We start from the raw sequence: 26,165 nt of genomic DNA, 5'->3' as shown, positions 1-26,165 counted from the left end.
AACCCTTTAAAGAAATAAATACAATAGGGAAGTAACCAAGTCAACAAGTGGGACAAACTCAGACTGTACGTACAGGAGTAGTTAGATGGATCAGGAAAGAGGTGCTTCACAAATGGCACCACAAAATATTAAAAATTCACAGGTTTTTTTTAAAGCACCTCTAATGTGCCTCTCCAAAAACATAAAAAGATGTCAGAAAATAAGGAAACATCATCTGCTGTGTCACAGTACAAATTACAAATCATTTAGGTTTCTAATTTTAGCATCAGATTCTTTAAATACTATTATTGATCTGCTAAGAATCAATGTTCTTGAATTCAGCCACTCTTATACAAGCCACAAGTAATGTTTTCAACAAAACCATTACAGATTCCCAAATTGTGATGTTCTCATTTTCACTTAAATGCTGGACTGTAAAAGAATAAATTACAATCTCCAGTTTAAATGGTCTTTATAATCTTTTTCTAGGAAGACTGAATAATTACTTTCCTAGAAATCTAAATTAAGAGCTTCCTGAAAACTTAATGAGTTGCGGGAAATAGAAACATGACATTTATTACTAGCCTGAACAATACCCAATTATCTCTCCTCCTCATTCTCCCTAAAGGCAAAGCCTGATTAAGAACCACCATGGTTTGGTTCTCCAGCAACTTTTATTGGCCAAAGGATGCAGAAGGATATATGGTGTCTGTGGTTTAATTAACAGGATCGTTTATAAAACAACTTTACATTTATCTTATTTTTAAAATTCTTGCTTTTGAATAAGCTGATGTGTTAGAATAGACATGCTCCTATCCCATGCAAAAAGCTGTTCAAAAATGAGCAGCTTGCAAATCTATCATAAATGAGACATTGAATAAAATATTCTTACAGTGAGGTCTAAGAAGTAGTTCAGTCTGAGAATTTGCTTCAGATACTTTTTGAAATAAAATATTCAAGGCATAAAAAAAGCAAAACTCAAAATATCTAAAACAGATACATACTGATATTTTTATCCTAGTCATTTCCCAGAGTTTTTATGTGTCTCTGTGCTCTGCTGATTAAAATAAACAACAAAAGCAGTAGGCATCTTCTAACTAAAAGTTAATTTACTAGTCTTCAACTAAAAAGTCACAGTGGAAGAACATATATAAGGTGAAGAAAGCTTTTTAACCTTTCAGATTTAAATAATACTGCATTTCAACTTTAAAGAAAGGTTCCACCATATATTTTTTGCACTGACATTTTAAAATACAAGAACAAGTCTTTGTAATACAATATATACTTCAATATACCCAATATACCTTATATGAATTAAAAACATGTCAACTGGATAACTGTAGTAAGGCATTTAAGTATTCAGCAGAAGCCATAAAGAAATTTCTTAATGAGTGGTGTCCATTTAATATTAACTGGATTTAGTAGGTTTCCTTAAAATGAACAGGAAACAAAAGATGTGAAAAACAGGCAGTGATGCCATTATACTGAATTCCAGAAAAAGCACAGTACAATGTGTTTTCTAGCAGGGAGACCAGCAAACTGGAAGTGGATGAGCGGCCCCAGCTTACATGGTCTATTGTATTTGATCAACTGCTGAGAGAAGTATTAGTAGCCCAGTAGGTTTGGGTAAAGGTACCAGAATCCTTAGTGCTAGTCTCACAGCCAAAAACAGAGCAGGTACTCCAGATATACTTCCTGAACTGACCTGGATGAAGAGGCTTTAAAATCAACAGAGCTGGACAGTATAAAGTTCACGGAAAAACTCAATTTTTCATTTTATTTTGGTATATTAGTGAATGTCTACTGATCTAGTATTTCAAGTGTGGATCACGTAAACACCATGTAGAATGTAGTAAACGGAGTTAAATAAGAAAACACACTGGCTATCAATGCCAGAGTCTTTGAATATCAGGTCATAAATATAACCAATTGTGCAATATAACCAACATGATGAGAAAAGCACACCTCACAATTGACAATTTTAGTTCATATGATTAAAAAAAATAAAATCTGAAACTGCATTTAGTGCCACATTCTATCATATCATACATCAGATTCCATGCTGTGGAGCCGCACTGGGCTACAGGACATACAGTACATATAGCATGTTTTAAACCGAAAGTGAAAGGAAAAATATGAAACAGAAAATTTTTACATACACATCTAACGGTGTTGTCCATTTAATTCGATTTATATGATTTGCTGTGCCACTTTGACTGGCTTGCAGAACACCCCAAATTCTCTTTTCCCCATAAAGATCTACTTCCATACAGAGTAGAAAAAGATGGTGGTAAAAAAAACTTCAGATTCTTCAGGTTCCAACGATTGTGTCCCAAATGCCACTGTATGAACACCTAAAAAATATTAAGAACAATTTCAAAATCTGCATAACTATAAATGCAAAAGTAAATACAGCTTAAAGCCTAAAAGAGAATTCGTGAATATCTTGTCTTTTAACACTTGCCTGTGCCTACTACATGATGTCGACTATAAATAAAACGTCCACTGTGGTAAATGGGAAAAAAGAAGAAGCTTTAAAAAGTTAAAGGGAGACATTTGTCAATTTTATAAATAGGCCTCCTGTTTTAGCAAAAGGCACATTCATTTAGACCTCAATCAATCCAGGAAGGGCTCCTCACTGACATAAGGAATCAGGATATCTCACCCTTCCCATCAACCACCACCTGCCCTTCCTTTCTTTCTGAACAAGAGCATAAGAATTTCCTATAGAGTATAAATTCTTTCAGTTAGAACATCCAACTTTAACTTATGGGTTCTTCTCCTTCTCTTTTTTTTTTTTCTGAGACAGTTCTCACTTTATCGCCCAGGCTGGAGTGCAGTGGTATGATCTTGGCTTACTGCAACCTCCGCCTCCCAGGCTCAAGCAATTCTCCTAAGTTTCATGAGTAGCTGGGACTACAGGTGCACGCCACCACGCCTGGCTAATTTTTTGTATTTTGTAGAGATGATGTTTCACCATGATGCCTAGGCTGGTCTCGAACTCCTGAACTAAAGCAACTGGCCCACCTCAGCCTCCCAAAGTGCTGGAATTAGAGCCACTGCACCCGGCTGGGATCCCCTCTTTTTCATACTGCAGCTTCCCAAAGCTTTAACAGGCCTCTGCACTTGAGCTTGCCAGGAACTCAGGGCAGGGAGGTGTCCAAACCCACCTGTGTGCTCTCCTAACAACCACACTCCTGAGCGTTCGGGGCCTGTGCGCGCCGCGGTGACCTCAGCTGTCTCAAGGCAGCATCTCCGTACTGAATACCTGAGCCCATTCTTTCTGGGTCCAGCTCACCTAAGGACCAAGCAAGTCTTCTTTTAAAAAAGGCTTTTATGTTTCTTTGATTCCAAAAATAGATTAAAAAAAAAAAAAGCAAAGTACAGAACACTGTGTATATATCCCACCATTCTGAATAAAGGGAAAAAACTATATATATGTTTGCTTGCACCGGCACAAAACATCTCTAGCAGGATACATAAGGAACGGCTGATTCGGAGGAGTTCTAGATGGCTGAGGACAGGAGGGGGTGGTAACAGGGGGACTTTTCATTGCATACTCTTTTATACTTCTTGAATTTCAAATTATGTGAATACATTATTTATATAAAATAATTTAAAATTAAATTACAAAGATATAATTTTTCACTTATTAGATGGGCCAAAAGTCCAAGTATGATGATACTACATGCTGTGGACATGGCTTTAGTGAAATAAGCCCATCACTAGGAGAAAATGTGACAGCCTCTACACCAAGATCCCAAATGCTTATGTTCTCTGACCCAGCAATTCCACTTCTGGGCATTTGTCTGACACACAGACTCATGCACATGTAAAAAAAAAAAAAAAATATATATATATATATATATATATATATATATATATATATATATATATATATAATTATTTACTGTAACATTACTTATAATAGCAAAATACTGGCAACAACCCAAATGTCCAAAGTAGACTGGCTCATGAATTATGGTAACACATAGGTTGAGCGGTCCTTATCCAAATATAGGTTGAGCAGTCCTTATCCAAAATACTTGAAACCAGAAGTATTTTGGATTTTTTCAGATTTTGAAATATTTCCATTATACTTACCAGTTCAGCATCCCTAATCTGAAAATCTGAAATTTGAAGTGCTCCAATGAGCATTTCCTTTCAGTGGCAATGTTGGCAATTAAAAAGTTTCAGATTTTGGAACATTTTGGATTAGGGATACTCAACCCATATTACACATTACACACACACATTATGTATGACATTATGTTATATATATGTACCTTATGTATTATATGTATATACGGAAACTATAAGCTGATTTGTAATGATTTGTAGGTTATACAATAGTAAGTAAAAAAGCAAGGCGTGGTAGTCTATCATATGATACATTTTATATAAAAAAAGGGAAGAAAACAATGGTTTCTGAATGTATTACCCATTAAAAAAATAAAAAGTACTGCTGAAGAATCCTAATTTATACTCTTATATTTTTTTCACCTAGAGGTACTTATGATTTTGATGATCTCAGAAAAAAACACATCTTGGAAGACTGCATATGAGTTGTTCTATCTGATGCATTCAGGGATACAATATTAAAATAGCAAGGTCATGTAAATACAACCTCATGCTGAGCTTAATAATACTCAACAGTAAGCCAACTGTAAGGATTTATGTAACAGTGTCTTGGTTTTTGTACCAAGCTTAGTAATTTTTTTTTCTTTCTGATAAAAAAAAATACAAAAAGATGACATGTCCACTTCTGTTGAAACCCAGCCCTTCTACCTGGGCCCGACTCTCCTCCCTCCTACTTCACCTAGCACCCTCCTTCTTCCCTGCCCTCTCCTTGCCCATTCTTCTCTCCTTCCCCCTCAGCATTTAAACATGCTGGAATTTCTCCCATCACCCACAACCCCAGCTTTAAATTAACCCTTTGCACCCTACAGTGCCAGCCTGTGCTTCCTCAGGAGAGGAGTGGACACTCTGCTTGCTCACCTCCTACTTCTTCCTAACGGACGGCCAGCCATCTTCTACCTTCATAATTCTGCTGAAATTGTTCTTGATCAAAATGATCACTGACTTTCTATTCCCCATCCCAATGTGTGTTTTTCAGCTCAGTCTTAGCTTATGAGGCTTCCCTCTGTTACTATTACATTACATAATGAACACTCCTTTGATTTGCTTATAATTAGGGCTTAAGTGACACCCACATTCCCTTGATTTTCTTCACACATTTCCGACCATTTCCTTTTTCATCTTTTTTGTAGATTCCTCTTCCTCTGCTCATCCTCCAACTCCAGGGTTCTGTTGATCACTGCTCTCCTTAAACACTGTTCTCCGGACGATCACATTGCTTCCACAGTTTTAGCTGTTCCTATATATTGATGGTTCCCAAACTTATACTGCCAGCCAGGAACTCTTCCCCAAGCTTACTAGATAACTCCATGTTCATGTCTCAGCGTTACCGCAAAGGCCGCACATTTGCAACAGAGCCATCTTTACTCCCTCACATTCCCTGCTTCTCCTCTGGCTCCACCCCATCTCTGTCTAGAGACACCAGTGTGACAGCTGCGAGTCATCCTTGGTTCCTCCTCCCCTGCTGGCCCTTCCTCCTCACCTTGTCCCACCTAAGAGTCAGTTGTCCTGTCCCACTATTGGGCATATGAGTCATAAGATGCTACTGCCTAAATATATCTTAGATCCATCTCTCTCTCCATCTCTGCTTCCATATCCTTGTTAAAGCATTAATCAGTCATCTCTTACTAGGATTACTCAAAAATGCCTTATAATTGGTATCCTGGCCTCCAGGCCTGTCCTCCCTTCAGTTTGTTTTCAACATAACCTCCTACATACATGACTTATCTCAAGTCACAACCCAATCACATCACCCACCTGCTGACAACCCACCACCTACAGCAGTGGTTCTCAATCTTGGATGAACATTAGAACAGCATGAGTAAACATTTAAAAACACTGGTGCCTCGACCATACTTCAGCCCAATTAGTTCAGCGTCTCCAGAGGCAGAGCCTGGGATTAGAACTTTTAATGCATCTCAGTGTCTCTAGTGCTCATCCAGGGTTGACAATTGGTAATCTACAAGATAAAGTTCTAGATCCTTGATGAGGACTGGCTGGCTCCTGCCTTTCTTCAACCTTTTCTCCTGCTATTCCCTCTTCCTCACTCCCTTTGCTGGCTCACTCTTCCTTATATTCTGAAAGACTGAGCTCATCTAAGACCTCCCCTGAAAGCCCTCCCTGACACCTCCTCTATCCTCTGGCTGGGGCAGGTCCCCTTCTTCACGTTACCCTGAGCCTGTGCATCTCTCAGCTACTACATCAGCCTTGTGATATTATAATTATCCTCTGACTGTCTCCCATGAAAGACAGTTTCTTGGGGGGCAAGGGGTGTGATTTATTCATTTTTGTATCCCAGCATCTGACAAATAGGCACTCAGATGTTTGAATGAATCAATTAAAAGGTGATGCCCATATATAGTTACTTTAGTAAATGACAACTACACAGTATTTCGTCAGCTGCCTACATTAGGATTATTTTAAATTATTTTAATAAGCAAATACAAAAATGAGGCATTTTATAATTGAGGCATGCTCAGTAAGCTTCAGAAATAAAATTACTCTGGACTCCATAGTTCCATGATGCCCGATCTGCAACAATCAACACTATACCATGTACCTATAACTCCCTTACACATGACCACTGGCCCAACAGAATTAGCGTGCTGTTGACAGAGTGGACAAAGGCCTATTCTTCCTCCGTTTAGTGAAGGACCAAAGAAAGACTATGGTTCTAAATGCAAACACTCCCTGAAACCTTGACTACCTTTCCACAGCTGAGCTGGTGTGCCCATCCACTTTCATCACCATGGAAACCATCCTGATAAGGATGGGGCTTTCATCCTGATAAGAACAGGACCTTTGAACCCATATGTGATGATTTTAGGTTGGCAGGTAGAGAGAGAACATTCTTTACTAAATCACCCTGAAACTATTAATTAAAAGGTGATCTACTGAGCTACAGTGTAAAATATGCAGAAGAAAAGTTGCTTAATGGAAAGGCTTTTACCTGATTCGATTTTGTTAAGTATTTTTCTTGCACACTGTACAAAAGCCTCTTCTACATTCTCCCCTGTGAGCGCACTTGTTTCCAAAAACATCAGCTCTAAAATGGACATCAAACAAAATAAAGTCATGTTTAGAAGATGATCATAATTTTCACTTACAAAAGCCTGTGTAGCATTCTCTTAGAAAAGCAGACGAAATATAATTTATGACCTAAAACCATATATTTCTGTAAATATAAAATCAATATATGTCATTATGTGTTTTTTAAATGTTAAAAGAATTTTAGCCTTTTCTGAAAAGTAACTGCTATCTTGTGCTAGCACTTAACCTGGTGAAGGGGCTGAGCAAGCAACCAGGCTTCCCCAGCCAAATGACAGCCCATCAGAAAGGAGCTGGCTTGCCAAAATGGCCCTGCCATTGATTTCAGGGAAAGTTGCAATGTCCTTCTTCAAACAATCTGAGTGTCACCACAAATATGACCTACAAGTGTTTACACTTTTTAGGGGACTATATTGCAATCTGTCATACAGCCCATGAAGAGACAGTATAGGAATTAATACTCTTTCTACCCACCAGAGTGGCTGTTCATCTCAGCAGAAAGGCCTGTTCTGCTTGCTCTCTCAGCAAACCATGGCCTCTCTAGCCTCTTGTATCCTCACTTGTAAAAATGAGTTTAGATGACATCTAAATTCCTTTTCATCTTTGTTAACATTCTAAACTTCTGATTTCTAAACAGCTTTTTAAAAACTGTCATGATGGCATATGGATTTCTCTCATGTTTATTTTCTTAGCAAGAAACTAGTCAAGTTACAATATAATTTGGAATCTTAGAGTCCAAATATTGATATTAGGATTCTAGTTTTTGGTTCTAAAAATTAAAGTTATTTAAAATGTCTGAAGTTTTAAAAAATCATTCTCTTATCCATTAATTAAGCAACCATTAATTTTATGTGGCATTTTCATGTATTCTATATGGAAATTCAAAAAAGTTTCAAAGTTGTCTATAACCAAATGACTTAAAATGAAGCCAAAAAGCCAAGTATTTCTTCTTCCGCTTCCCTTTCTATTTGGGTTAATATTTCACCAAATTTCCTTCAAAATACATTAAAAAATAATGACATCATTTGGTTAGAGTCTTTAAATATTATTAATTTCACTTTAGCCCAAGATCTCTAATATTCAAAGACCCTAGACTGAAAAGTCATTACATAATGTTACTACATTTGCTTTTATCATTATAGTAACTTCTGCAGGCAGAATGCAATATACTAAAAATATGCTTAATAGGTCTAATTTATAGAAAAAAACAATTGGAAATTCCACATTTCCTAAATCTAGTTTAATCTTGAAATTCCAATATATGTTTTAAATTCAAAGAAATGCTATTATCCTCAAATATGCGATTTGAAAAATAGTAAGAAGTAAAAGGTCACTTGCCATTTTCTTGAGCAAATCTGGAGGCTTCTAAGAAGGTAACTTCACGATCTGCATCCAGGTCCTTCTTGTTTCCACAAAGGATGATCACAATGTTCTGGCTCGCTAGCATTCGGGCATCTGTTAACCAATTAGTAAGCGCATTGTAGGTTTCTCGGCTGCGTAATATAAGATTGTGAAAATAATACATGTATTTTATAAAACTAGCAACTCTTTCCAGTCATTCTCACTACTCATACCGCTTTTCAACATTTCAGGGTAATGGCACCAACACCTTTAAGATAACTCAGACAACGTGAATGCACCAAGTATATACCATACCCACAGTTTGTTCCATTTTGTTTCTGGTAAAATGAGACAGCAAGTGAGATATTTTGTTATTTTTCGTTTGCCCAGTCATGGGGCAAAAGGAAAGAGATGTTCCTTCATTCAATTGACAAATATCTATTGAGCTCTTAGCATGCGCAAGGCACTAGACTCTGGTAGGCAAGATTTCATAGCTAATTGCTGCCACTTAATGAATCCTTGCAATGTGCCAGCACTTTGTTTTACAGGACTTTATCACATTGATTCTTTATAAAGATTCCATGACACAGACTGCCATTATTCCCCTTTTCTCTGAGAAATCCAAGGCCCAGAGAGATTAATTACGTTGCCCTAGGTCATACAGCAGCCAGTGGCAAAGTCAGGACTTGACCAGCTCTGTCTGACTCCAGGACCAACTCTCAGACTTACTATTTTTGGCCCTCATGTGTCTAAGGATTGAGTTCTTCTCATGGCACTTTGCTAGCCTGATTGATGACTTCACACTTTAGCAGGCTGAGCCTTTCACTGCCTGGGCAAGTGCAGGAAGGGCTGGGCCAGAAACTGCCTTCCTCCTCTCAGAACGCCTGGCTCCCGGGACACAGATTGGAAGAGGGAAGCGGCTGCTGAGTGACATCCTCTCACTGGACAGGTTCCTACCCAGAAAGGGCCCCCAGATGATGCCATTTAGATGACACATTTCTAAGACAGTGCTACTGAGATCAGCACTGCTGAATGTGATTTCCTCATGGATAGGAATGTTCTATAATCTGTCCTGATATGGTAGTCACCAGCCACATGTAGCTACTGAGGACCTGAAATGTGGCCAGTGCAATCGAGGAACAGAATTTTTTATTTCAGTTAAATTGCCATATGTCACAAACAGCTACTAACTGCTTCACATTAACTAATTTAAACCTCCCAATAACCTCCTGAGGATCATGTGATTATTACTATCTCCATCTTACAGACAAGGAAACTAAGGCCCAGGCAGCTGAAGCACCTGGCCTGAGAGGGTCAATCAGCTAGTGACTGCAACTGGGATTTGAACCCAGCAATCTCAGCCCAGAGTCTGTGTCCTCACCCTCTCTCAACTCACTTCTAATAACTTTCCATACATAAAGCTTTGTGAACCTTAAGGAAAGTGTCCAAGCATCATGTCAAGAAATGTAATGTAATAGCATGGATTGCTTTATCCACCTAAAACCTTACAAACACATTTCTCTGCAGGGGAAAGCAGTGGTAGGGGCTCGTTCAAAGACCTCTGAGACCCCAGATGGAAGGGCTAAGGGGCTTCCTGGATGCCAGCCACACCACCGTCCCTGGACACACAAAGCACACACTGCACGGAGGGCACCTCGCCAAGACCAGCCTTTGGGCTGCAGGGCACTGAGCACCCTCCTTCACCAGGGGGAGCTGGCATTACCTGGTGATATCATAGACGAGGAGAGCCCCGGCCGCGCCTCGGTAATAACTTCTCGTCACGGACCTGGAAGAATTATACTGGTTTTACTTTCAACCAATTGAGACCCTTTACTGTATCCCACTTTCCCATGAAAAAACACCCATGCTTGCTTTGTAAACCACAACACAGGGACAGACACTGGTTTAAAAGAGAAATGATTCAAAGATATTTGAACATACATGTGAGGGGTTATTCTGCCTGAAATCACATCACTGTGGCAAGTAGGAGATTCCTTCACAGCGGATGCAGCTCTCTGATGGATGTCTCCTTTGAGAACTCCTAGCAGGGTGAGCTGTCTGCGGAAGCCAGCACCACCCCCTAGATGGACACTAAGGGGCTCAGCAATCCACTCACTTCTCTGCGAGCTCCTCATCTACCCCACTCCCTGGCACAATTTTCTCCATCTCTTCCAGTTCTCGCCACCTCTCGGCGCGGTGGAATCCATAGTCACCACAGGAATCCATAGTCACCACGGCCCTACACCCACCTGCATCCCTGCCCTATTACTACGGGAAAACTGAGTGTCCCAGTATGTCATATCCACTCTCACATTCAAGAAGGCGTCTTTTGGTCATACATGTTTTCCCCTACATTGTCAATCTCACCCTCTTTGTGAGATTTTTCCCATTAGTGGCCGGACACCTATAATCCCAGCACTTTAGGAGGCCCAGGAGGGAGGACTGCTTGAGGCCAGGAGTTTGAGACCAGCCTGGGTAAGAGAGAGAGACCCTGTCTCTACAAAAAATTAGCCAGGTATGGCAGTACACACCTGTAATCCCAGCTACTCAGGAGGCTGAGACAGAAGGACTGTTTGATCCCAGGAATTTGAGGTGACGGTGAGCGATCATGCCACTGCACTCCAGCCCAGGCAACAGAAAGAAAAAAAAAAAAAAGCCAGGAGTTCAGGATTTTTCCTATTAGCAAAATAAAAATAAATTGGCTCTGGTACCGCCCATCTTAAAACACAAAACAGAAATATGCTGCACCATCTTTTCAGTTACTGTCCCACTGTCTGCTCTTCTCCACATCCAACTGTCTTTTTTGAGACAGAGTTTCGCTCGTTACCCAGGCTAGAGTGCAATGGCGCGATCTCAGCTCTCTGCAACCTCTGCCTCCCAGGTTCAAGCAATTCTCCTGCCTCAGCCTCCTGAGTAGCTGCACCCGCCACCACGCCTGGCTAATTTTTGTATTTTTAGTACAGACGGGGTTTCCCCATGTTAGCCAGGCTGGTCTCGAACTCTTGACCTCGGATGATCCACCCGCCTCGGCCTCCCAAAGTGCTGGGATTACAGGCGTGAGCCACCACGCGTGGCCCCACATCCAACTTTCTGAAAGAGCTGTCTTTACCTGCAGCTTCCTCTTCTTCACCGCCAACCTAGTGTCCATCTCTGCTACTCCCCAAAAGCCTGTCAAGGTCCCCACCCTCTCTGCAACCGAAGCTGGAGTGGGCATTTCTGTCCTCACTCACTCGCGCAGCCTCTGCGCCCTGCACTCTGCTAGTCTTCCTCCCGCTCACCAGCCACTTCTCTGGCTCTGGTCATTCTTCTGAATCTGCCCTGCTGGGATTGCGATTCCCCAGAGCTGGGTCCTGGGCTCTCTTAACATTCGACTCAAATTTTGTCTCCAGCTCAGATCCAAGTGCTGCCTCCATATCTCCATGAGACTGCCTGATAAACATGTCAAACTTAACATCTGCACAGCAGGACTCTTTTTGGTCCCACCCTCCAGGCCCGTCCTGGCCTAGGAAGAGGCATCACCACGCACCCTGTTTCTAAAGCAAATCAGCTCCACATTCATCCTCAATTCCTGTGCACCTCCACATTCACTCCGCCAGCCTAGTGCAGTCTCCTACACTACACAAATCCTGTGTCTGCCCACGCTGCTGTCCCTGCTGCCATGTGTGGCCCACAGTCCATTCTTCAGAGCAGCCCAACTCATCAAGGCCCAGGACAGGACATCTCCGTCACTGTACCTGTCCCTTTGGCCCCATTCTCTTCCCTGCTCCCAGCCCCTGCCACTCCCGTCTGGGCTCGTCACACCGCTGGCTTTCCTTGTCCCTTGGGTCTCATTAACTCTATCTCCTCAGCAACGTTCCCCAAGCATCCCCATCCAGTGGACCCCCTCTATCTCAGCGTGCTGTCTCCTGGGTGGCACCATCCCACTTGGTGGGATGCTCTTTCTGTCTCTGTCTCTGTGTTGGCTGCCTGCCTCCCCTCCATGGGGCAGGGCTCTGCTGTCTCACTCACCAGAGGATCCCAGTGCCTAGCACAGGGCCTGGACCACTGCTAGCTAGACATTCCCAGAACTTAACTGTGGCCTAATTAAATTAAAAAATATATATTTGGTCTTCGTCCCAGGTTCCTGGCACAGAGGCCCAAACCCCTGTGATTTCCTTAGTGATAAAGGTGTCTTTTGTAAGCCAAGGAGATAACTGTGGGAAGAGTAGCAGGCTAGAGAGCCTTGGGATCGGGGCTGTGGCCGTGGGAGCCCTCACCGAGTGAGGAGAGTGCTGGAACTTATAGCCTCACCTCAGCCCTCTGGGGAGGAAAGAGGAGCTGGAGATTGAGTCAATCATCAATGGATAATGTTTTAATCAATCGTGCCTTTGTAATAAAACCTCCACAAAAAAACCAAAAGGATGGGGGTCAGAGAGCTCCTGGGCTGGTGGTGGCATGGAGGTGCTGGGAGGTGGCCCATCCCCATACCTCGTCTCCTAAGCATCTCCTCCACCAGGCTGTGCCTGAATTGACACCTATCTAACAAACCAGTAAATGCCAGGAAAAATGTTTTTCCTGAGTTGTGTGAATCATTCTAACAAATTCTCCAACCTGATGGGGATGTGAGGGATGGAGGGTGTGGGAACTGCCAGATCTGTATTTGGCCAAGAAGTGCAGGAAGCCTGGGCACTCCAGTTGTGACTGGTGTCTGAAGCGGGGGTGGCAGTCTAGGTCTCCTTAGCCTGGAGGGTCCCCTTTAACTCTGGGTAGTGTCAAAAGTGAATTGAAGTGTTGGACACCCAGCTGGTGTCAGAGAATCCGACTGGCTGGTGTGAAGAAAAACCCCATAGACTTGATGTCAGAAAAAAAAAGACACCAGAGGAATGAACTATCCTTGGAGAACAAAGAAACCCGTGCAGCTTGCAACAAACAAACAAACAAAATTACTAATTATTACTTTGCTGCTTGGCAAAGAAGAGCTACTTTTAAATGTACTTTTTAGCTCTTAGTCAGGAAGCTTCAAGGTCTTCATGTAGCTTGAAGCTTTTCCTCTCTGCCTTGAGACTGTTAGCAAGAGGCACACGCTTTAAGGACTGGTGGCAGGTAGAGGTGCAGAGTGGACTGTTTGCTCTTCACCCCACAGCCTCCTAAGGCAGGGGGAAAGGCCTCGCTTGTTCACATCTATTAAGAGGCAGCGCCTTTCTATTCTTGCTCAGCAGGCACCTAGCTTCTAGAGGAAGAGGGAACTACGAGTTCTCTTCAAGATAAGCTGTATCACATCTACTTCTTAAAATTTTACTTTCAAATTTATTTTACAACACTGTCTTGACAAATAGTTTCTTATACAAATTACTCCAGTATACAAATATACACATTTAAGAATACTACTTTGAGGTGTTAAATTTTCTTTTTTTTTTCCTTTTATTTATTTATTATTATTATACTTTAAGTTTTAGGGTACCTGTGCACAATGTGCAGGTTACATATGTATGTATACATGTGCCATGCTGGTGTGCTGCAACCGCTAACTCGTCATCTAGCATTAGGTATATCTCCCATTGCTATCCCTCCCCCCTCCCCCCACCCCACAACAGTCCCCAGAGTGTGATGTTCCCCTTCCTGTGTCCATGTGTTCTCATTATTCAATTCCCACCTATGAGTGAGAATATGCAGTGTTTGGTTTTTTGTTCTTGCGATAGTTTACTGAGAATGATGATTTCCAATTTCATCCATGTCCCTACAAAGGACACGAACTCATCATTTTTTATGGCTGCATAGTATTCCATGGTGTATATGTGCCACATTTTCTTACAAAAGTAATTTAACCAATATAATACATGTGGATAGTTTTAAAGTGAAATGTCACGAAAAGTCTCTAAATTAAACACAGCCATCTCCTGCCTCACTCCTCTCTGGGAGCCCTACTCTCCACAAGCGAGGTGAGTTCTCTCTTTCTGGTAACTGGGTTTCCTTTAATTAAGTCATTAAAAGAGCACATACTGCGCCCCTGTGTGCTAGACACTATTCTGGGCACAGGGGAAACAAACAGAAAACTCAAAAACCCTTACACTCATGGATCTTACAGTTTCTTTCTTCTCATTTCTACAAAAGGTTTAGGAAACTGAATTTCAGAGCTGTTTCTTCCCCGCTCTGACAGAGTCGTGAGCTCTTACAGAGCCCCTCACTTGTTCCCCTGGTCCTCCTGGAAGGGCAGTGCCATCACATACTGACTGCTGTCTTAGTCTTCCCTCACTGTCCCTCTAGACCTGTGCCATTCTGAGCTGGATCTTCCTGCTGGCTTCATTTTCCTCTTTCTGGGATCATGCCCTTGTCCTGGTGAAGTATATCCTCCTAAACTTTCTAAGAAAGTACATTTCTAAGAAGTCTCTGAGAAAGATAATCTTGGCTTCCTCCTCTTTCTTGCACATCTGTTGGTATTCAGCCTTTACTTGCACACTTACAGTTTGGCTAAGTTTAGAATTTTAGGTTGAAGAATTATTTCACCCTGAGTTTTGAAGGCAATGCTTCCATTTCTTTTAGCTTCCAATGTTGCTGTGGAAGGGTGCAAAGCAATTCCATTTTTCACACTTTATATGTGGCTGCTTTTTCCCTCTTGGAACCTTTCTGGTCTTCCTTACTTCATCTGTGGTGTTCTGAAATTTCACATGGCACGCTCTGGTCTGGACTTTTTCCTTACTATGTTTGATTTTAGGTGGGCCAATTAATCTGGAATCTCATTCCTTCAGTGAAACATTTTCTTCTATTATTCTCTCTGCTCTTCTCTCTTCTGGAACTCCTAATAGTCATTGCATCTTCTGGATTAATTCTGGAGGATTCTTTATGTCATCTCTCCCATTTTTCACCATGAGTTTATTTAACATATTATTCTGATTGCTCTTTTTAAGTATGACTTTGTTTCTATTACATACTCCAATGCAATCTCTGCTCTTCTTCCTAAGGATACTGTGGTTTTAGTGTGTTTTTCTTACTCCCTCAAAGTTCCAGCTTCTTTACTTTGAGCTCTCTCTTTTGCTATAGAAACTTTCTTCAAAATTCTGCCTGATCATTAAGAGCAAGGAATGAAAAAGTCTAAAAGAAGCTCTTTATGTGTGGGTGGAGCAGGTGGGCTTGGAGGGTTTCACTTTCAGATGACTGGATAGAGACTGGGCTGTTTGACTGGGAAAGCAAAATGTCACTACCTTCAAGCCTTTCCTTTCTGACTATTCATTTTTCTGCAGAGAAGGCTCCTTTCTCCTATGTGGGACATACACACCTGGCTGCCAGCGACCAGGGAAGAGGTAGGGGAGGTGGGTTGGGGGCCAGAGGCTTTCATTTTCACTTAATTTCCCTCTTTTCAGGCCTGACCCCATGCCCTCAGGTGGGCCTTATGACCTTGAGTCTAGACTCCATTTCAACGTAAAAGACTGAACCTCTTATTTCGTGTGTAAACATGAACCTCTGTAACCTCTACCTCCTGTAGAACCTGATGCTTCCAAATCCTGACCTTTTCTGGGACTCCAGAGGAAGAAATGGCTTCCCCCATTACAGTACTTAAGGTGGAGCTCCTTCTGCTGTCAGAGCACCATCTACTTCCTATCTTTAAGATTTTTTTGGAAATCTCTCAATCATAATTGTGCACTCACTCAATCTTGGCCTTTTTGAGTTACTTCAATTTCAGTTACTTAACAGACATTTCAGTGGGGTTCTGAGAGGGAAGACATAAATGTCTAATTGAATCCACCATGTTTAATCAATGCTTCCAGAAAAATGATGGTGATTAAAGGTGGTTATGGTATTTTTGAAGCAATTATTGAACTTCAATTACTTAATTAATTTTTGAGATGGAGTTTTGCTCTTGTTGCCCAGGCTGGAGTACAATGGCGTGATCTCAGCTCACTGCAACCTCCACCTCCCGGGTTCAAGCGATTTTCCTGCCTCAGCCTCCAGAGTAGCTGGGATTACAGGCACCTGCCACCACGCCCGGCTAATTTTTTTATTTTTAGTAGAGAAGGGGTTACACCATGTTGGCCAGGCTGGTCTTGAACTCCTGACCTCAGGTGAGGAGGTCTGCCTCGGCCTCCCAAAGTGCTGGGATTACAGGCATGCGCCATTGTGCCCAGCCAAACTTCAATTATTTAATATACGACATGTACTCAACTTCAAGTGAAATGTTTACAAATGGGGTGGATTTTATTTCACTGAATTATAAAACTATGAATATCAGTTCTGACTTTGTGCATCTGTGCAAAAACCACAACTAAAATATTAATCTATTTTCTTGCTTTAGTAGTTACAGAATACTAAACATGTAACCTCATTTGCAGTGACTGAAGTCATTCTGAGCCTCAGTTATGACCCTATTGTAATTAAAGTGTGGAGAGAATATTTTGTGGAGTGTGTATCAAACATCAGAACATGCTCTAGTTAATGTAAAACAAAACAAACCCTCACAAGGTTTTAAAAAGTTCTTCTTTAAAAAAGGAACACAGAAAAACAAGCTTGTGCTTTGATTTGAATCTAGAAACATACTGTACAATACACAGTGCCACATCCTCCTGAGAATGGGTCAGCCTCCGAATTATAATGCAGTTGCGCGGAGATCCTCCTGTATTCTTTAGTAATCCATGCTGCAGAGAGCTAACCTAAATTTTAGCTGTCTTGTCAATCAAAGTTTCCAAAAATGAAGTTTCTGAGATTAGGACAAGGAAGGGGTGTGTTGGGGAGGGAGTGAGACCTTATATATTGAGAGAATATCATCAATTATTTTAAATCAAATTTTCAAATATTTTTATTAAGTTAGAGAAAAGCTACCTGAATCGTTCTTGTCCTGCTGTATCCCATATTTGTAACTTTACATATTTACCACCAACATTTATTATCTTTGAACCAAATTCCACTCCTATTGTATGATTTGAGTCATCTTTGACTAAAAAAGAAAAACAAGAACAGCATATTTAATTTTAGAACATTAACAGGCTTATAGATTTAAACAAGTGACACTAAAACCAAGAGTTACATCAATGGGGAATGGACATTACTCTAGCCATTCATTTCTCCAACATTCCATTGAGAAGATGCATTTAGTTTTAAAGATAATACACACAGCCCCTATTCTCAAAGAGACATAAAGATTTTTCTCAAAACCCCCAAACAAATGATACATTTAAAAACCTATGCCTGAAAGTAGCCCTGCCATATCCGAACCACATCCAACTGTGCACTGTTAAGATGCTCACAGATGGTGACTGCTGACATACCAGCGTACCATTCTGAAGGGCATAACGCCCAGTGACAGGTGTGGAACTCAGTAAGTAATGAGGTGGAGACAGTTTCAACTACTGTATTTGAATGGTTAAATATTTTAAAGAAATAACAGTGAGTGGAAGGAAAAGCAGAGGAAAAGGGAAAAGGAGGAAAAAAATTGAACCAAAGAAAAAACACCCTCCAAAAAACCCCAAAACAAAGCACCCTCCAAAAAACCCCAAAATAAAACACCCTCCAACAAACCCCAAAACAATACACCCTCCAATAAACCCCAAAACAAAACCCTATGCAAGCTACAGGTGTTTGAGATTTCATTAATCGTAGTGTTCTATGGAAATGATTTGGGATGAATTTGTTGGAGAAATTAGTACTATTTGAATGGGCAGGAGACAGGCAAAATAAGTATTTTGCTAAACCCAGCGGGAATACACTGCCTATGAAAGAACATTTCTGTGATGATAAACAGATAAGCTGAAATTGAATATCGCAGCTATACAGTCCATTGGCTAGTTTATATTTTGTAACTGCAGAACAAAATTTAATTGTTTCAGAGATCAGGGATGCCACTGGCAACTGGATTTATTATTTACAGGGCAGAGGGTAGATAAATGGTTACAGTGACTATGCTAGTCTGTTTCATGCCCAGACAGTATAGAACTAGTATGGAAATTCCATTAGGAGTAAACTACCAGGAAAAATGCAGGGTAAGATCCTTAAAAAAAATAGTAACTAAAGGCCAGGGGCATCCTGGTTACAAAGAGAGACCTTCCGTTCATTACTGTTGTGAGGAGTTGCAGAGAGGACCATGCAGGGGAGTTCTCTGAGGAGGACAGAATGATTACATAAGCTGGGTACTTGGCCCAGTACCCTCTGGGTATTCTTTTCTAAGACTGTACCACACAAAGTCTTGGCAACTTGTAAATAAACTATCCAGTGAATGAATACTTGTTAAATTCAGTAAGGACCAGTTCTGTGACTAAGCCACACTGGGTCCATGTCACTAAACAAACAGGCTCCAACAAGCTCTTGGGTGATGAAAATGGAAGAAGCAGAGTAAATTTCTAGGATTTTATTATTCTTCAAAGCTTTCTGCCAAAACACCCCAAACTGGTTCTTTCTCCTTTTTACCCACCACCTACCATGCCTCACATATACTTTCTTAAGATAAACTTAATTAAATAAGACACTCTGTTTTTGACCCTTCACCCACCTGCCACTAACTAGACAGGTCTTTCTCCACGATTCTTTCCATTATTAAAAAGCATTTTTTGTTTTAAGGGCCTTTCAAACCTACAGTCTTCTACAGCCTTCCAAGGTCTCACATAGTTTGAAATAAAAAATTCAACCTCCTTTACCAAAACAGTGAAAGTCAATGGTAAAAGATGGGCTGTGTGGTCAAGAGGTCTGTTTCTGGCCTATAAAACAGAATTGATGACAGCAACTGCCTTAACTACAACACAAGCCCACTATGAGGACCAAATGTTGTTATTTTATCCAAAATGTATGCCTAGAGCTTCTCTGGCTGCTCTGTCAGGAAACAGGATTCCTGCCACAGAACCCCTCTGCTATCTTCAACATCACTATATGGTCTCTCAGCATCTGCAAAATGTACAGTAGAAGTAACCATATACTGAACCATTGTTAAATAGAAATGCTAACTTAATAAAAAATCACATCACCCAAAGTTCAATAACATAACCCTTCAAAATACTTTCAAACTATTACTTTTTTCCTCTGAAAAAATTAAGTTTACTGTAAACAAATCTGAGTGAGAGGGCTCTCAGAAGACATGCACGGAAGAATGACTAATTTCATGACACTTACATTTTTTTTCAATAAACTGATGAAGTAAGCAAGATTTGCCAGTTCCTGCATTTCCAATAACCAAGAACTTAAACAAAAAATCTGAAAGATAAAAAGAGACTGTGAAAATAACTTCAAAATAGTGCTGTGAATTTCTTCTTAGATCACGATCATCAAATTTAGTATCTTAGTTGTTAATATAACAGGAAAAAGAGGTAACTGAGTATCTTGTGAAATGACAATACATATGTTGACTTACCTTTTCACATTTAAGATATTTGGCTGACATGTTAATTCAGTGGTTTTCCAAACTGTGCTCTTTGAATAATTACTTTGCAAGGTTAAAGTCTGAAAACTACTCTTGGAATGAATAAAACTTGTCCCTTTGCTAGCCACTATTCAAAGAAATATGCATATTCAGTTGGCAGCAAAGTTAGTTTAGAAAATTTCAAGTGTTTTCTGTACAAAAGAATAAACCTGGTAGACTTTGAAGAGTCTACCTCTTTCTTCTTCTTAAAAAGCAGGGGAAAAGGGAAAAGGAAAAAAATAAGTTTTGTCTGCACTTGCAGATTTACGTGGTCTTGCTTCTTTTCCCTCATCTGTAATTTGTATAACGGCATAAGCCAAGTTTAGGTCAGCACTTCAAGTGCGAAATTTGTCTGATTCAATGACAAACTGAATAACTTCTTCTTTACACATAGTAATATATTTAATTTGGGATATTATTTTTTATAAAATGGAAATAAAGGATTTCCAAATGGAAATTTTTAATTAGCATGATGTAGTATCAGTAACTTCATATTACCCATGTTAATTCACTTTGTTTTTTCTGTTACCAAAGAACTGTAATTCTGCATAGCTTAGGAGCTTAGGAGCTCGGGAGTACCAGAACACCAACTCCCTCCTCCCCGTTTGACTCAGCTGCTAAGTCCACTCCTTACCCTTGCTCCTGACCCACCACTGCTAATCCCCACTGCTGCCTGACTCCTTCTGTGGCCTCAAAGGCTCTGCTCTGTATTCCTGGCTCCCCTGTTTGTAGCTTTGAAAGTGTCACCTCCACACTCTTTTCCAGATCAGATCAAGCACTCCCTCCTCAATTAAGCTCCAAGAGTGTGTTCCTTTACTGATGCTTGGCCTAGCTCTGTCACGTTTCTTAAGAACTATGTTAATCACCACTGAGAGATGAAGCCTATTCAACCTCTCATAATATTCACATGGTTACAGGCAATCAAACTAAAAATAATGCTATTAGAATTTTGTTAGCATTAAAAAGTTCCAGGCTGAGCGCGTTGGCTCACAACTGTAATATGAGCACTTTGGGAGGTTAAGGAGGGAGGATTGTTTGAGCCCAGGAGTTCAAGACCAGCCTGGGCAACATATGAAAATTCTGTTCCTAAAAAAAATAAAAATAAAAACTTAGCCGGGTATGGTGGCACACACCTGTAGTCCCAGCCACTTGCGACACTGAGGAGGGTGTATCACCTGAGTCCAGGGGTTCAAGGCTGCAGTGAGTTAGAATCGTGCCACCACACCCCAGCTTGGGTGACAGAGCACTCTGTCTGTAAACTAATTATTCAATGGATAGGTTAAAGAGTAAAATGGACAAAACTGAGGAGAGAATTAGTGAATCAGAATAAAACCTGGAGATTACCAGTAGGCAGTACTGAGAGCTGAGGACAGAACATATAAAAGAACTCAAGAGACATGGAGGATTGAAGGAAACGATCTAACATGGATCTAACAGGAATTTTGAAATTAAAAAAATAAGAGAATGAGGGTAGAGAGCCCATGTTAAAATAAATAATGGCTGAGAATTTTATAGAATTAAAATTAAAGGATTGTTCAAATAAAAAATAACTCTGAACCATGAGAAGAATAAATAAGGATAAATCTACACATAAATACATAATTGTGAAACTGCAGAATACACATGAAGACTGTAAAAGCAATAAGAAAGAAAGGAAAGAAGGCTTGTAAAGAAACTAGGTGTCTTGATTCCAAAGGTCCGAAAGCAACGGGGTACTATCTTCACAGGGCTGAGAAGAGGGGCAACAACAACCCATCATTGTTGCATTTGATGTGCAAAAAAATTACCCTTAAAGCCCAGGTGGACTTCCACTTCCAAGACAATGGAGTAGAAGAACTTTTTCCTATTTTTCTCACTAAGAACAACTAAAAACCCTAGAAAAGGATGGGTGTGGTGGCTCATGCCTGTAAATCCCAGCACTTTGGGAGACTGAGGCGGATGGATCACCTCAGTCAGGAGTTCGAGACCAGCCCGGCCAACAGCGAAACCCCCGTCTCTACTAAAAATACAACAATGAGCCAGGCGTGGTGGTGGGTGCCTGTAATCCCAGCTACTCAGGAGGCTGAGGCAGGAGAATTGCTGGAACCTGGGAGGTGGAGGTTGCAATGGGCCAAGATTGCACCACTGCACTCCAGCCTGGGCGACAGAACAAAACTCAGTCCAAAAAAAAAAAAAAAAAAAAAAAACCAAACAACACCAACAACAAAAAAAACCACCCTAGAAAAGAAATATCAAAGACTCTGAGGCCGGGCGCAGTGGCTCATGCCTGTAATTCCTGCACTTTGGGAGGCCAAGGTAGGTGGATCATCTTGAGGTCAGGAGTTTGAGACCAGCTTGGCCAACATGATGAAACCATGTCTCTATTAAAAATAATAATAATAAAAAAATTAGCCAGGCGTGGTAGTGAGCACCTGTAATCCCAGCTACTTGGGAGGCTGAGGCAGGAGAATTGCTTGAACCTGGGAGGCAGAGGTTGCAGTGAAGCAAGATTGTGCCACTGCATTCCAGCCTGGGCAGCAAGAATGAAACTCCGTCTCAAAAAAAAAAAAAAGACTCTGAAAGAGTGGAGCAAAAGAAGGCCAGTGTACCAGAGATTTCAGTGTACCCGGGATTTCAGGGCCCAAGGAATGATTTGGAAGGAAGTTCCCTGGGTTCTTTTTGCCTCTTGTATCCTAGGCTTGGAGCAGAACAAGCTGGCAACCCAGAAATGCCAATGGATGCAGACAAAAAAAGTCCTAGCAAAAGCCTGCTCTCTGTAGCCATGGGACCAAAAAAGGGGCAGCCAAGCAAGAGAGAGGAAAACTCTTACACAATAATGACTCTATTCTAGCCAAGCACCACAGCAAAAACTATGGTCCAACCTGTACCCATGCCAGCAAAGGCCGAATGGGGAGCCTAAACTTCCACCCTTGCAAGGCTACAACCGGGCATATCAATATCCCCACAAAGATGGTGTCAGAGAAGACCAAGTAGGGAGCTAGGGCTTTCATCTCTGCTGGCTGTGTAATGAGCTCTTGTGTGCCCCTGGCACAGTGTCAGTGGAGGTCACCAGGGAAAGAGGGACGAGAACATTCTAATCCTTACCCAGCAGCAGTAACAAGATGAATTCCTCTCATGTGTCAATGGAAGCAAGTGGGGAATCTGAACTTCTAGATTCCAGAATCTAGACATGATGGCAGTGATAAGGTAGTGTCCAAGAGAGGAAAACAATTAAAAGATTTAAATAAAGATCTAAGGTCCTATAACATAATATAAAAATATCCACGTTTCAGTTGAAAACTCCTCATCATACCAAGAACCAGGAAGACCTCAAACTGAACGAAAAAAGGTAACAGACATATTCCTATGTCAAGATGACAAATGTTAGAATTATCTGACAAAGATTTTAAAGCAGTCATCATATCCAACAAGTAACACAAGCATGCTTGAAACAAATGAAAAAATTAGAAATCATCAGCAAAGAACTAGAAGTCTCAGCAAAGAACTAGAAGATACACAGAAGAACCAAATAGAAATTTTAAAACTGAAAAATAAAACTACCAAAATAAAAGTTCAGTGGATGGGCTTGACAGCAGAATGGAAGTGACAGGAAAGAATCAGTGAACTAGATGACAAAATGATAAAGTATCCAATCTGAACAACAAAGAATAAAAGGTTGAAATAAATAAACAGAGCCTCAAGGACCTGCAGACAATGAAAAAGATCTAACATTCATGTCACTGGAGTCCTGGAAGGAGAGGACAAAGAGAAAGTGGTTGAAAAAAGCACTCTAAGAAACAGCACTGAAAACTTAAATTTGGTGAGAGACATAAATCTACAGATTTGAAAAGCTGAATGAACTCAAACAGGATAAACTCAAAGAAGTCCATGACAAGATACATCATAATTAAACTTCTGAAAACTGAAGACAAATAAAAAGTCTTAAAGGTAGCCAGAGAAAAATGATACCATATCTACAAGGGAAATACAATTCGAATAACAGCAGATTTCTCATCTGAAGCCAGGGAGGCCATAAGAGAGTGACTGTATTTTTCAAGTGCTCAAAGAAAGAAAACCTTTCAACCCAGAGCCCTATGTCCTGTGAAACTATTTTTCTGGAATAAAGGGTAAATGAAGACATTCTCTGATTTAAAAAAAAATTAACAGAATTTATCACCAGGACATCTGCCTGCAAAAGAATAGCTATAGGAATTTCTCTAAACAGGAAGAAAATGATAAAGGAAGGAATCTTGGAACATCTGAGTGGAAGAAAGAACATGGAAAGCAAAAACATGGGCAAATACAATAGGCTTTCCTTCTTATCTTGAGTTTTCTTCATTATGTTTAACTGTTTAAGAAAAATAGTATTATCTATATGATTCTAAAATATGTAAAGGAAATATTTAAGACAATTAAAACAAGACAGGATAAAAAGATGACAACAGTAAACTATGATATATATATATATATATATATATATATATAACTATGATAAGTTATGTATATATGAAGTAATACACAGAGTGACCACTGAAAAAGCTATGAGCAGAGATACATTCCACAGCACTCTTGGTAAATCAAACAGAATTCTTTAAAATGGCCAGTCAAGGCAGGCTGGAAAAGAAAACTGAGAAATAAAATGGCAAACCTGAGTCATACAATATCAATAATTACAATAATGTAAATGGAATAAATACATCAATTAAATGACAAAGATTGGAAGACTGACTTAAAAAGCATGACCTAATCATACACCGTCTACAAGAAACTCACTTCAGTTATAATGATATGGACTGCTGAAAGAATGGAAAAGGATGTATCATACAAACATTAATCAAAGAAAAACAGGGCTGGCTGTATTAATATCAGATAAAATAGACTTCAGAACAAAGAAAATAACCAGAGACAGAAAGGGTCATTACATAACTATTAATACATAAGGGTAAACCCACCAATAAGATATAGGTATCTTGAACGTGTATATGCCAAACAGCTGTAAAATATGTCAAGCAAAAACTAACAGAATTAAAAGGCCAAACAGACAAACTCACCATTACAGCTCGAGATTTTAACATTAAGTAAAATGTTAACAGTATGGTTGGCAGTTTCTTATAAAACTAAACATTTAACTACCATATGACTCAGAAACTGCACTCCTAGACATTCATCTCGGAGAAATGAAGACTTTGAGTCATATAAAACCCTGTATATGAATGTTTATGGCAGTTGTATTGGTATAGCCCAAAATTGGAAACAACCCAGATGTTCTTTAACAGGTAAATTGTTAGACAATCTTTGGTACACTCATAACAAGAAATGCTACTCGGAAATAACAAGGATTAAACTGTCAATACATGCAATAACCTGGAATGTATCTCCAGAGAATTATACTGAGTGAAAAAGTCAATCCGAAAAAATTGCAACTGCAAGATTCCATTTATATAATATTCTTAAAATGACAAAATCATAGAAATGGAGAATAGTGGTTGCCAAAGGCTAAGGAAAATGTGGTGATAGGAAGGAAGTCTGTGCCTATAAAAGGGCAACAGGAGAGATCTTGTGGTGACGGAAGTGTCCTGTATCTGTGTCAACATCAATATCCTAGTTGTGATATTCTGCAACAGTTTTGTAAGTTTTTCCCATTGGAGAAAACTAGGAAAAAGGTGCATGAGAACTCCGTATTTTTTCTTAAAACTATATGAATCTGCAATGATCTCAAAATAGAAAGCTTAACGGAAAAAAAAATACGTGATATTATCAGACAATGACTCTGTACGTTTACTATGCACAGTCCCCAAACTGGAAGAACTAGCAAAGGATTCAAGAAGGAAACAATACCACAAGGAAGGAGCAGCAGATAAGCAGCTGAGCTGTCCATCAATTCTTTTTCTGTGTGGTGATACATGTATTTAGATAACGCAGATAAAACTATAAGGAGATAATGAATTATTCCTTGGTAGATGATGAGAATCCAACTTCATGAGGAGTTTCAGTTAGTGCTGAATTACCTGGATCTCACAGAAATCATTCTGGCAGGAATGCATCATGTTCTCTCAGAGTGTTCAATGTTTGCTGGTTTGCAGCAATGATGATCTCACTCATCATGACTCCATATCAGAATATGGCAGAATCTGTACTAGTTTTATGGGTTTATTTTGTATTTTTAATCTGTGGTTTTTTCTTTTTCCTTGCTTAACAGTGGATGACATATATATAGCATACCATGTGTATGTTTTATATGTTAAGTGTATAGTGCTTAACAACTACAGAAAGGCTTAACAGGAACAGGTGAATAGCCATATTACAGAGTAATTAATGAAGGCAAAAT

General features: G+C 40.1%; 1 protein-coding gene across 3 annotated transcripts in view; it reads right to left on the bottom strand.

The window, feature by feature from the left end:
• Positions 1–244: 244 nt before the first annotated feature.
• Positions 245–26,165, bottom strand: part of RAB4A (RAB4A, member RAS oncogene family) — a 34,784-nt gene continuing 8,863 nt past the window's right edge. The window contains exons 2-8 of one of the 3 annotated variants that reach the window (NR_073545.2): positions 19,573–19,653; positions 17,296–17,410; positions 10,229–10,291; positions 8,503–8,619; positions 7,067–7,162; positions 3,150–3,277; positions 245–2,333 (exon numbers count right to left, since the gene is read on the bottom strand). Coding sequence is in view for 2 of the 3 variants with exons in the window: in NM_004578.4 (NP_004569.2) it covers positions 3,162–3,277; positions 7,067–7,162; positions 8,503–8,657; positions 10,229–10,291; positions 17,296–17,410; positions 19,573–19,653 (626 nt within the window). In the remaining variant the exon portion in view is untranslated. Of the gene's footprint in view, positions 2,334–3,149; positions 3,278–7,066; positions 7,163–8,502; positions 8,658–10,228; positions 10,292–17,295; positions 17,411–19,572; positions 19,654–26,165 lie in introns of all 3 variants that reach the window. The other 2 variants (NM_004578.4, NM_001271998.2) reach the window with 2 other exon arrangements.

Source organism: Homo sapiens, chromosome 1 (genome assembly GCF_000001405.40).
Source record: "Homo sapiens chromosome 1, GRCh38.p14 Primary Assembly".
Taxonomy (NCBI): domain Eukaryota; kingdom Metazoa; phylum Chordata; class Mammalia; order Primates; family Hominidae; genus Homo; species Homo sapiens.
The sequence above is the reverse complement of the archived record's forward strand: the minus strand, read 5'-3'. Positions and strand labels throughout refer to the sequence as shown.